General features: G+C 43.8%; 2 protein-coding genes across 3 annotated transcripts in view; one reads left to right on the forward strand and one right to left on the reverse strand.

Annotated features, from left to right (window-relative positions):
* The window catches only part of PIN4 (peptidylprolyl cis/trans isomerase, NIMA-interacting 4), an 82,289-nt gene that overhangs the window by 27,343 nt on the left and 42,550 nt on the right, over positions 1 to 12,396 (forward strand). The window lies entirely within an intron of this gene.
* Positions 1 to 12,396, reverse strand: part of ERCC6L (ERCC excision repair 6 like, spindle assembly checkpoint helicase) — a 34,363-nt gene that overhangs the window by 4,354 nt on the left and 17,613 nt on the right. The window lies entirely within an intron of this gene.

Genomic DNA, 12,396 nt, shown 5'->3' on the forward strand with positions numbered 1-12,396 from the left:
TATGTGTAGGGGCATGGAAACATGGGAACCTCTCTGGCCTTATTTTACTGGACCTCCATTTAACAGTATTGATCACTCCCCTCCCCTCTTAAAATTCCCTCCTTTCACGAGATTCCTATAGATTCCTTCTGGTTTTCCTCCTCTTCACTGACCATTTCTTCTGTGTTCTTCCTCCCAGAGGACTCAGTCCTAGGACCTCTTCTCACTCTTTTTAATCTCTCCTCAAGTTTTCCCAGAGCTTCCGCTCCCACCTATGTGCTCATGACTCTCAAATCACTCTCTCCAACCTAGAGCTGTCCCTCAAGCTCTACTCTAGACCCATATTCCAGCTGCCTTCTGGACATCTCCACTTGAAATCAAATTCAATTCATCCCAAACTAGACTCATTATTTCCCCTCTAAAAACGTGCTTCTCCATTTGTATGGTACTAAATAACACTACCATCTATTTAGCCACCCAAACTTCAAATCTGAAGAGAATCCTTGACCCCAACCTAAATAGGAGTCATCCTTGTCCTTTCTTTTTATGCCCCACCCCCAGGCCAGGCAGTCCCAAGTCCTACTAACTTTATTTCCCAAGTTATAACCACCTTCTTTCCATCTCTACTACCATTACTGTGGCCCAAGTCACCATCATCTCTGGCCTGGATAACTGCAGCTTCCTACATAAACTGCTCTCCCTACATAAACTCTTGCCCCTCCAATACACACTCTATATAGCAGCCAGCAATACTGTCTTAAAGCATAAAAGAAATCATGTCACTCCTCTGCTTAAAATTCTTCAGTGGTTTATGGTCAATTACTTTCAGTAAGGGCGCCAAAATAATTCACTGGGGAAGAAGTCTTTTCAACTGGATATCCATGTGCAAAAGAATGAAATTGGACCCCTACTCATACCATACACAAAAATTAACTCAAAATGGATCATAGATCTAAATCTAAGGGCTAAACCTACAAAACTTAGGAAAAAATATAGGTGTAAAAATCTTCATGACTTGGATTTGGCAATATCTTAAATATGATGCCGAACACACAAGCAACCAGAGGGGGGGAAGAGATATACAGGGCCGGGTGCGGTGGCTCATGACTGTGATCCCAGCACTTTTGGGAGGCCAAGGCAGGAGGATCGCTTGAGGTCAGGAGTTTAAGACTAGCCTGAATAACATAGCGAGACTGTCTCTTAAAAAATAAATAAATAAATAAATAAATAAATAAATAAATAAATAAATGGAAAAAAGATATACAGATGGGCACATGAAAAGACTCTCAACATCATTAGTTGTCAGGGAAATGCAAACCAAAACCACAAGGAGATACCACTTCCCATTAGGATGGCTATAACCAACAAGTGGGAAAATACCAAGTGTTGGCAAGGTGTGAAAAACTCCCACTATTGATGGGAATTATTAAGGGTTCAGAGCTGCTTTGGAAAGCGGTCTTGATCTATGTTCTAGAGCTTGAAGGAAAAAATAACATTCTTAAATTATTAGATTATTTCCAAGTTCCTGAACTGGTAACCTACCCAGTATCCTGAAACCCCTATGAAACCTGGGGTTCTGTGTAACTCTAGCCAGGCGTCTTTCCCAGAGACTAAAGTGCTGTCCCTGATCCTTAGCTCTGGGCCAGAGTCCCCACTAATCACACACGCCAGCCTTTTAAATGGCAACTGTGTGCCTAGACTTCTTAGCACCAGCCTAAAATACTTATTGCTGTGCTCTACCCACCCTCTGGAACCCCCATTTGTCAACCTCTGCCTGAACCACAACGAGAGTTTACAGTATTCCTTGGATATCACTGCTTTCTGGCTGGGTTAAACCGCTGCTGTGAGCCAAGCTGCCTTCCCCAGTCCCTGGTCCACCCTAGTTAGCAGGTCTGTCTAACAACTGCATCTCAGCTCTTCCTTTCCCCTCAGTCTATTCCACCAATTAAGTTGGACCTAGGATGGTATTCTTTCCCTACAATGGAATCAGGAGGAAAAATAAATGCTTTTAATAGCACTGCCCTGGATATCTGATTATTTGCAAGACTAGAATGCTTTTTACAATGCAGTTTGATTTAGCCACTTAACTTCTAATCACTTCCATTTTTCAGGGCTTGGAGGGAAAACATGTCCTTTTTATTGCTAATGTAATGATTTATCCATCTATAGCACACAGGATCCCTAATGATCTGGATAACTTAGCTAACACTTCATGGGCTCAAGTATTTTTCCAGAATTGCTCCCCTATTTTCCTTGAACATAGGCAGGGAGAAGCCAGGCCTGCTTGGGAGCCAAGAGGACAGGGAGGAGTAACCAGTTCAGGACAAAGAACCATAACCCTCAAGCAAGAGAACAAGGAGAAGAATAGTGCTAGAGTATGGGGTGAAATGTCAGTTTTTAATTCCATAGGAATGGACAATAAAAACAAAAATTTTATGTTTAAATGGTTTTACCTGAAATTATATGACTAGAGCATGTTTCTCTTTAAGGATTATTTTAAAGGACATCTAATCACCTCCCACAAGGTGTCTCCCCAAACACGTGAGGATTACAGTCTGGATTACAATTCAAGATGAGATTGAGGATTACAATCTGGATTACAATTCAAGATGAGATTATGGGTGGGGTCACAGCCAAACCATATCAGTGGCACACACCTGTAGTCAGTCCCAGCTATTCAGGAGGCTGAGGCAAGAAGTTCGCTTCAGCATGGGAGGTCTAGGCTGCAGTGAGCCATGATCGCACCACTGCACTACAGCCTGGGTGACAGAGCAAGACCCGTTTCAAAAATAAAAAAAAAAAGAAATATTATATACAAACAACTCCTGGAGGAAGGTGATACAACAATTAAACTTGGGCTACAAAGTCCTGTTACCTGGAAAGCTACACTTTCGCTGGCAAAACTGCCCAGTTGCTAACCCCCTGGGTCATAACCCCACCTAAAGGTCTCTCTATAAGAAGCCCTGCCCAAGTGGCCATATAAAATCATCTCTGTGGCTGGGCATGGTGGCTCATGCCTGTAATCCCAGCACTTTGGGAGGCTGAGGCGGTTGAATCACCTGAAGTCAGGAGTTCAGGACCAGCCTGGCCAACATGGTGAAACCCCGTCTCTACTAAAAATACAAAAAAATTAGCCGGGCATGGTGGTGGGTGCCTGTAATCCCAGCTACTCGGGAGGCTGAGGCATGAGAATCACGTGAAAGGCGGGGGTTGCAGTGAGCCAAGATCGCACCACTACACTCCAACCGTGCACCACAGCGAGACCCCATCTCAAAAAAAATAATAATAATAATAATAAAATCATCTCTGCCCCAAAGCTATTTCCTCAGATGCAAACATTTTCCTTGACCATAGCCAATTAACCTCTCAACATCTAATCCACCTCCCTTTGGAACTGGCTGATACCTTGAGAAACCTTTCTTCTCCACAGAGGGTCTGCCAGTTCAGATGCTGAAAAGTTTTTCTATCTGGAGAAACCCATAAGCCATACTATTAGACCTATGCCCCAAAGAGCTAAGCTAAGTTAAACACACAGTGTTTACAAATGAGCAGCTGAAAAGGCACACAAGCTTAAGTTGCAGAAGACACACACTTGATTTTCCTTGCTATGGAGGGCCCTTTAGAACATTCCCTACAAAGTTATTTTAGAATGTGAAGAGACAGCTGGGAGCGGTGGCTTGAGCCTCTAATCCCAGTACTTTGGGAGGCCAAGGCGGGCAGATTGCTTGAGCCCAGGAGTTTGAGACTAGCCTGGGCAACATAGTGAAGCCCTGGTCTCTACAAAAAATAGAAAAAAAATTAGCCGGGTTTGGTGGCATGCGCCTAGACCCAGCTACTGGGAGGCTAAGGTGGGAGGGATGGCTTGAGCCTGGGAGGCAGGGGTTGCATTGAGCTATGATCGTGTCACCACTGCACTCCAGCCTGGGCTACAGAGCCAGACCCTGTCTCAAAAAAAAAAGAATGTGAAGAGACAGAGAACTGAATGCAAAGACCCTAACTCAATAAAACTTTGTTTTCTTCACATGCAAAACAATCAGAAATGCTCTTTGTTTTGTAATCTGGCCACCAGCCACTAGGCCCATATAGGGGTGGAGGAGCCTAGACCTGCTAATCTCGGCGCATGTGAGTGGGGTTATTGCTGTCCTCTCAACAAGAACCCAGTTTTGAGAGACAGGACTTGCTGGATTTCCTAGGCTGACTAAGAATTCCTAAGCCTAGCTGGGGAAGGTGACTACACCTACCTTTAAATACAGGGCTTATAACTCAGCTCACACCCAACCAATCAGGTAGTAAAGAGGGCTCACTGAAATACAAATTAGGCTAAAAGCAGGAGGTAAAGAAATAGTCAAATCATATATCGCCCGAGAGCACAGGGGGAGGGAAAATGATCGGGATATAAATCCAGGCATTCGAGCCGGGAGGGGCAACCTCGTCTGGGTCCCTCCCATTGTATGGGAGCTCTGTTTTCACTCTATTAAATCTTGCAACTGCACACTCTTCTGGTCTGTGTTTGTTACGGCTCGAGCTGAGCTTTCGCTCACCGTCCACCACTGCTGTTTGCCACCGTTGCAGACCCATCGCTGACTTCCACCCCTCCAGATATGGCAGGGTGTCCGCTGCGTTTCTGATATAGCAAGGCGCCCATTGCCGCTCCCAATCGGGCTAAAGGCTCGCCATTGTTCCTGCATGGCTAAGTGCCCGGGTTCGTCCTAATCCAGCTGAACACTAGTTGCTGGGTTCCACGGTTCTCTTCCATGACCCACGGCTTCTAATAGAGCTATAACACTCACCATGTGGCCCAAGGTTCCATTCCTTGGAATCCGTGAGGCCAAGAACCCCAGGTCAGAGAACAAAAGGCTTGCTGCCATCTTGGGAGCGGCCCACCACTATCTTGGGAGCTCTGAGAACAAAGACCTGTCCGTTAACAGTTTCCCTATACTGATCCAGCTCCTGGAGTATCTGCTCCCTGACATGTCTCTATGTCCAGTCCCCTTGTCAAGATGCATGTAGATGCATTAGACACAACAGATGTCTTTTGATTCTCCATCAAAATCAATAAAACATAAAACATTTGGATAACATAAAAATTGCAGGTGACCTGAATGCCAGTATTGAAAACAGGTCCATTTAAAGCCCAAGTCATGGCAGAGTAGGCTAGGAGGATTCCTTCCTTTTGGCTTCACTTTCAGGGATGGTCATTTTAATTAAGGTGGGGATCATTTTAAAATCACATATAAACACAAACAATATTATTAAATAGTGATTTCTGACATAAATTAGGGAAAAATGTGGTTCACATTTCAGTCAAACAATATTTAATAATTAGCTTTTCCCTGCTTAGCGCCATTTATAAGACAGGCATTTAAGAGTCAAAAAAACAAACAATGTTGCTTTACTCTTAATAGCCAAAAACTGGAAACAACCCCAGCACTTTGGGAGGCCGAGGCGGTTGGATCACCTGAAGTCAGGAGTTTGAGACCAGCCTGGCCAACATGGTGAAACCCATCTCTACTAAAAATACAAAAATTAGCCAGGCATGGTGGCAGGCACCTGTAATCCCATCTACTCTGGAGGCAAAGGCAGGAGAATCATGTGAACCAGGGAGGCGGAAGTTGCAGTGAGCCGAGATCATGCCACAGCACTCCAGCCTGGATGACAGAGTGAGACTCCATCTCAAAAAAAAAAAAAAAAACAAAACAAAAGTTTAGGCCAGGCACGGTGGCTCACACCTGTAATCCTAGCACTTTGGGAGGCCGAGGTGGGCAGATCACTTGAGGTCAGGAGTTCGAGATTAGCCCTGCCATCATGGTGGAACACCATCTCTACTAAAAATACAAAAATTAGCCAGGTGTGGTGACGGGTTCCTGTAATCCTAGCTACTTAGGAGGCTGAGGCAGGAAAATCGCTTGAACTCAGGAGATGGAGGTTGCAGTGAGCCAAGATCAAGCCACTGCACTCCAGCCTGGATGAAAAAGCAAGACTCTGACTCAAAACAAACAAACAAACAAAAAAACCCACCAATCTGTGATATATTCATACAAAGGACTCAATAATAGAAAAGAACAAACTACTACATGTATGAATTTATACATGTATGAATCTCAAAAACATGCTGAGGAAAAGCCAGGCATAAAAGAGTAGCAACAGTGTGATTTCACTTATATCAAGTTCTAAAATAGGCAAAACTAACATATGGTGGAAAACATCAAGACAGTGGTTGCCTCTGGAGGTGGAAAATGCCTGGGAAAGGGCGTGAGGGCACTTTCTGGGGTGATAATAGTATTCTATATCCTGATAGGGGTTTGGGTTACACACGTGTATGCACTTGTCAAAATTCACCAAATGTACACTTAAGATTTGTGCATTTCTTTGTATGAAAATTTTACTTTAAAAGAAAAAAACTAAACAAATATTGAAATCCACTTAATAGTTTATATGCTGAAGTGTTTAGGGGGAAGTACCCTGATGTCTGCAATTTACTTTGAAATGTATCCTAAAAAAAGAAGATGGATTGATGGAATAGATGCAAGAATAGGTATGTGATAAAGTGAGTATAGTAAAATGTTAATAACAGAATCTAGGTGGTAGGTGAAAGAGACTAAAAAGACTGCTTTGCCAATAGACTGCTGCCTATCAATTTGAAGGCATACAAAAAGCAAGATTCATAACACGCTGCGATTTGGCTTCTTACCTAGCACTCTAATGTAACTGTTCTCACCAAGGACACCAACCTCCATATTGCCAAACTCCATGGACAGTTCTTAGTCTTTATCTTTCTGGACCTTTCTGCTGTGCTTAAAACCACTGATAACTACATCCCTCCTGAAGTTTTCCCTCCCGCTTGGGTTCAGTGGCATACAACCCTTCTCCTAGATTTCTTCTACCTCACTAACCATTCAAGATGCTCAGTCTGCATCTTGAATTCCTCTCCATCCACATATCCCCTATAAAATGTTGGCATTTCTGGGGATCTTTTTGTTGTCAATGTCCTTCTGATTCTATGTACATTTCCCAGAAGATTTTATCCACGGGAGTGCCCTGTACTAGGTTAAATAGAGTCCTCCAAAATTTCATGTCAACCTGGAGCCCGTGAATGTGACCAGGACATTGCAGATGTTATTGATTTAAGATGAGATCATACTGGATTAGGGTAGGCCCTAACCTCATATGACTAGTTTACTTATAAGAGGTAAACTGAGACACCGAGACATAGAGAGGAGAATGCCACATGAAGATGGAGGCAGAGAATGGAGTGACGCATCTACAAGCCAAAAAGCTCCTAGGATTGCCAGTACCACCATAAACTAGGAGAGAGGCTTGGAACAGATTATTTCTCAGTCTCCAAAAAGAAACCAACCCTGCTGACACCTTGATTTCAGACTTCTAGTTTCCATAACTGTGACAGAATGTCTAGGTTTTTTAAAAAAATGTGGTAAAATACATATAACATAAAATTGCCATTTTAACCATTTTAAGGGTACAATGGCATTGATTACATTCACAACGTGTAATCATCACCACTATCCTTCTCATGATACCAAACAGAAACTCTGTACCCATTAAGCTATAACTCCCCATTTCTCCCACCCCTCAGTGACATCTAATCTACTGTTTGTCTCTGTGTATGTGCCTATTCTAGATATTTCATATAGGTGGAATCATATAGTATTTGTCCTTTTGTGTTTGGCAGGTTAACCAGATAACCTTGGGCTAGAAGATTAAGGAGCTGGAGGTACTAAAGGTCTATACCCATTGTAAAAACCCCAAAGTATTTGTCCTTTTGTGTTTGGCAAGGTTAACCAGATAACCTTGGGCTAGAAGATTAAGGAGCTGGAGGTACTAAAGGTCTATACCCATTGTAAAAGAAATTAACTGTCCCTGGAGAATTTTTCATTTTTAGTTAGACTTTATTCCAAAGGGTCAGTCAGGATGTTAGCCACCAAATGCTCCCCAAAAATAATAAAACTTCTTTCTGCTGAGGAACATTGGCTGGTAGGATACCCTCTAGATGCCAAAGCACATCTGCTATGCCAGAAAAAAGGATAATTTTGGTTTTGGCATAATTACTGTTATGCTGTTTTTTTCCGGAGTGATTAGCCAGCAGGTTCAGCTGCTTTCTGAGGGCATGTTGTTAGCATGTAGGAGGATGCTTCCTTCCTGTTTATTCTGGCAGAAGGGTATTTGCCCAGTTCAACCAAAAGCAGCACTAAAATGTTCAGGTCTGATTACAAAGGAGGAGTTCAACAACCCTGCCTGCTTTTACTCACTTTGAAATCAGCTTTGCTCTTCCTGCCTGCTTGTATTCTCTTTATGACAGGGTATAAAGGACCTAAAAGAGCAAGAAGAACCTTGGGTCTCTTTTGAGCCATATAGTTTGGTCCAAATAGTTCTTGTCTGAGGAATCCAAAGCCAATAACCAGATAATAAATATTACAGAAAGCCTTACGCTTTTTTCAGTGATTGCTCTTGTAGGTGAAATAGAGTACGGAGCTGACAGTGTCAAGCCCCAAACCAAAACTTGTGTAGGCTCCTATCCTAAGAGGCCCAGGCCACCATTAAATTGAATATTCATGTTTTATACATTTTATTTATGCATATATTGTGAAATATACATATCTTATATTTCACAATAAAAGTTTTAAAGAATGTTACTTGCCCACCCTAGTGGCCAGGGGATAAGACCATTACCAGAAGGTGGACATGAAAGCTTACTGAGCAGAAAAAAAAATAAAAAAAAACACAAAAAGAACAAAATACAACAGCAACCATTATTCCCTACACATAAGCAAGTGCCTGAAATATGGGCACTCCATGCTGTTCCAGGAAAGAACAGTGTAGAACTCTTGCTTCTATTCCATTGATCTATATCTATACTTATGCAAGTACCACACTGTCTTGACTACTGTAGCTTTGTCGTAAGTTTTGAATTTGGGAACTATGAGTCCTCTAACTTTGTTCCTTTAAAAATTTTCTTTAAATAATAGAGATGGGGGCCGGGCGCGGTGGCTCATGCCTGTAATCCCAGCACTTTGGAAGGCCAAGGCAGGCGGATCAGGAGGTCAGGAGATCGAGACCATCCTGACTAACACGGTGAAACCCTGTCTCTACTAAAAATACAAAAAATTAGCTGGGCATGGTGGTGGGCGCCTGTAGTCCCAGCTACTCAGGAGGCTGAGGCAGGAGAATGGTGGGAACCTGGGAGGCGGAGCTTGCAGTGAGTCAAGATCGCACCACTGCACTCCAGCCTGGGCGACAGAGCGAGACTCTGTCTCAAAAAAAAAAAAAAAATTAATAATAGAGATGGGGTATTGCCATGTTGCCCAGGCTGGTCTCAAACTGGCCTTAAGTGATCCTCCTGTCTCAGTCACCTGAGTAGCTGGGATTACAGATGTGAGGCACCACGGTCGGCTAAACTACTCTTTTTCAAGATTGTTTTGGCTATTCTGGGTCCCCTGTATTTCTATATGGCTTTTATAATAGTTTGTCAATTTCTTTCTCTTTTTTTTTTTTTTGGAAACAAGAGTCTCGCTCTGTCACCCAGGCTGGAGTGCAGTGGCACGGTCTTGGTTCACTGCAACCTCTGCCTCCCAGGTTCAAGCGACTGTCCTGCCTCAACCTCCCGAGCAGCTGGGATTATAGGCGTGCACCACCCTCACCTGGCTAATTTCTGTATTTTTACTAGAGACGGGGTTTCACCATGTTGGCCGGGCTGGTAGCTCATCAATTTCTACAAAAAAGCCAGCTGAGATTTTCTTAGATGTGGCATTAGAATCTGTAGAACACTTTGGGAAGTATTGCCATTTTAAAGATATTACATCTTTCAATCCATAAACACAGGATATCTTTCTTTTATTTAGGCCTTCTTAAATTTCTTTCAACAATGTTTTATAGTTTTCAGTATCTAAGTGTTGCACCTCCTCGTATAAATTTACTCCTAAGCATTTATTTTTGTTGCTATTGTAAATGGAATTGTTTTGGCTGGGCACAGTGGCCCACGCCTGTGATCCCAGCACTTTAGGAGGCTGAGGTGGGCGGACCACCTGAGGTCAGGAGTTCGAGACCTGCCTGGCCAACGCAGTGAAACCCCGTCCCTACTAAAAATACAAAAATTAGCTGGGTGTGGTGGTGGGCACCTGTAATCCCAGCTACTTGGGAGACTGAGGCAGGAGAATCGCTTGAACCCAGGAGGTGGAGGTTGCAGAGAGCAGAGATCGCGCCATTGCACTCCAGCCTGGGAAACAGAATGAGACCCTGTCCCAGAAATAAATAAATAAGGCCAGGTGCGGTGGCTCATGCCTGTAATCCCAGTACTTTGTGAGGCCAAGGCGGGAGGATCACCTGAGGTCAGGAGTTTGAGACCAGCCTGGCCAACATGGTGAAACCCCATCTCTACTAAAAATACAAAAATTAGCCGGGCGTGGTGGCCTGCGCCTGAAATCCCAGCTACTCAGGAGGCAGAGGCAGGAGAATCGCTTGAACCTGGGAGATGGAGGTTGCAGTAAGCCGAGATTGCGCCATTGCACTCCAGCCTGGACAACAGACTCTGCCTCAAAAAATATAAATAAATAGACTAGGCGTGATAGCTCATGCCTGTAATCCCAGCACTTTGGGAGGCCAAGGCGGGCAGATCACTTGAGGTCAGGAGTTCGAAACCAGCCTGACCAACATGAAGAAGCCCCGCCTCTACTAAAAATACAAAAAAATTAGCGGGCGTGGTGGTGCACGCCTGTCATCCCAGCTACTCAGGAGGCTGAGGCAGGAGAATCACTTGAACCCGGGAGGCAGAGATTGCAGCGAGTCAAGGTTGCGCCACTGCACTCCAGCCTGGCGACACAGTGAGACTCCGTCTCAAAAAAAAAAAAAAAAGAACCTCCACTATAATGTTGAATTATAATGTGAAGAGAAGTCGCAAGAGCAGACAAACATCCTTGCCTTGTTCCTGATATGAGCGGGAAAAGCCTTTAGTCTTTCACCATTAAGTACAATGTTAGCTATGGGATTTTTGTAGATACCCTTGATCAGGTTAAGGAAGTTACCTTTTATTCCTAGTTTGTTGAGTGTTTTTGTATCACGAAAAGGTGCTGGATTTTGTCAAATGTTTTTTTCTGCACCTATTGAGGTAAGAAATGTGTTTTTTGTCCTTTAGTTTTTAGGCATGTTAAATCTGATATGTCTATTATCAAGCAGAGATGTCAACCAAGCAATCACATATAGGAGTATGGAGTTCAAGAGGTCAGGACTAAAGATAAAAAATGTAATAATCATCAAAGAAATGCAAATTAAAACCACATTGAAATATCACCTCATTCCTGTTAGACTTTCTATTATCAAAAAGATGAAAGATAAGTGTTGACAGAGCAGGAGCATCGGCATCTTGGACAGGCCCCTCATTCAGCGGGAGCATCGGCATCTTGGACAAGCCCCACATTCTAAAGTTCACCTTAATAAAAAACCACCTAAATCTAAAGGGCATCAGCCTAATGGCTAAGGTCAGCATGACCATAAACCACAATTAACATCTCCAACCAGAAACATTCCAAACTCCTCCCTGACCAGAGACATGCTAGCCCCAAGATAACCCCCCTCTGGCCAGGAGGATGCCAGCCTTGAGATAACACCCCTCTGGCCAGAAAGATGTCTGCCCCAAGATAACCTCCCCTCCTCCCAGAGAGATTCCAACCCCGCCATAAAACTTCTCCCTCACACAGAAACATTCTAAGCTTGTGATAAGCCCCCTCACCCTAAAACCAATATATACTGTTAGTCTGTAAGAGAAAGCACTCCTGACCAAAATTGGCCAGAAACCCCTCTCAGGTTTTATCTAAAGTAAACCTGCCTCTAACTGTCAAGCATTTGTGTTTCTTTTCTCTTTCTTTAACTCTTATATTTGGTGCCGAAATCTGGAACAGGTGCTGGGGGCAGAGGCTCTCTTGCAACCCAGGAAGCAGTGGGCAACGGCAGCTCATCATAAGTTAATTCCTGGATCCTGAGGGTCTCTGGTCACCTGCCCCGTCTTTTCTCTCACTTCATTTTTGGAGCGATTTGCATGAGGACAACTAACCTGAAGGGGACTGCAAGGCTCTGGCCGGGGCTACTCCCCAACAAGTCTTTAAACCTTCAGATCTTGGGAATCCACCTCCAACTTCCCACAATGGGTATTTTGCCCTCTCCCCTCCTCCTCCCTTCTCTCTTTCTCTCTTCCTCATGTGGCTCTGGTTTAAGGGGCCCTTTGCCAATTCCAACTGGAACATCCAACATTGGACACTAATCCAGCCAACTGCTAAGATCTGCCCTCCTCTGGCTTTCTCACGGTACCAGGAAAAGTTAGGTCTGCCATCCCGGTCCTCAGAGGACCAGCAGGACTAAAAAGCTAGAAGAAATCTTGGGGATGCCCAGTTTTCATCTCAGCTTGACCAT

Source organism: Homo sapiens, chromosome X (assembly GCF_000001405.40).
Source record: "Homo sapiens chromosome X, GRCh38.p14 Primary Assembly".
NCBI classification, from domain to species: domain Eukaryota; kingdom Metazoa; phylum Chordata; class Mammalia; order Primates; family Hominidae; genus Homo; species Homo sapiens.